Below are 1,009 nucleotides of genomic sequence, written 5' to 3' on the forward strand. Positions count from 1 at the left end.
ACCTGAAGTCCTAGCTAGAGCAGTCAGACAAGAGAAGGATATACAGGGCATCCAAACTGGAAAGGAAGAAGTCAAATTATCCTTGTTTACAGATGATACAAAGCTATATTTGAAAAAAAAACTAAAGACTCCACAAGAATATTATAAGAACTGATAAACAAACATAGTAAAGTTGCAGGATACACAATCAACATACAAACATCATTAGCATTTCTAAATGCCATCAGTGAACAATATAAGAAATAAATTTAAAAAGTCACATCATTTACAGTAGTCAGACATAAAATTAAATAACTAGGAATTTTAAAAAAAGAACTGAATGATCTGTATAATAAAAACTATAAAGCACTGCTGAAAGAAATTGAAGAGGACACCATGAAATGGAAAAATATTCCATGTGCATGGATTGAAAGAATCAATATTATTAAAATGCCCATACTATCCAAAGCAATCTACAGATTCAATGCAATATCTATCAAAATACCAATGACATTCTCCACAGAAATAGAAAACAGAATCTTAAAATTTATATGGAACCGGAAAAGACACAGACTAGTCAAAGGAAAGTATACTTAGTACACAAAGTATACAAACTATACAAAGCTTATGCTAAGCAAAAATAATGAAACTGGAGGAATTACATTAACTAACTTCAAATTATACTATAGAGATATAGTAACCAAAACAGCATGGTACTGGCATAATACAGAGACATAGATCAATGGAGCAGAATAGAAAATCCAGAAACAAATCCACACACCTTCAGTGAACTCATTTTTGACAAACCTACTATGGACATGCACCGGGGAACATACAGTCTCTTCAATAAATGGTGCTGGGAAAACTGGATATCTATATGCAGAAGAATGAAACTAGGCCTCTATCTCTCACCATGTACAAAATTCAAATCAAAATGTATTAAAGACTTAAATCTATGACCTCAAACTATGAAACAACTATGAGAAAACATCAGGGAAATCTCCAGAACATTGGTCTGGGAAAAAAAATT

Source organism: Homo sapiens, chromosome X (genome assembly GCF_000001405.40).
Source record: "Homo sapiens chromosome X, GRCh38.p14 Primary Assembly".
In the NCBI taxonomy this organism is placed as follows: domain Eukaryota; kingdom Metazoa; phylum Chordata; class Mammalia; order Primates; family Hominidae; genus Homo; species Homo sapiens.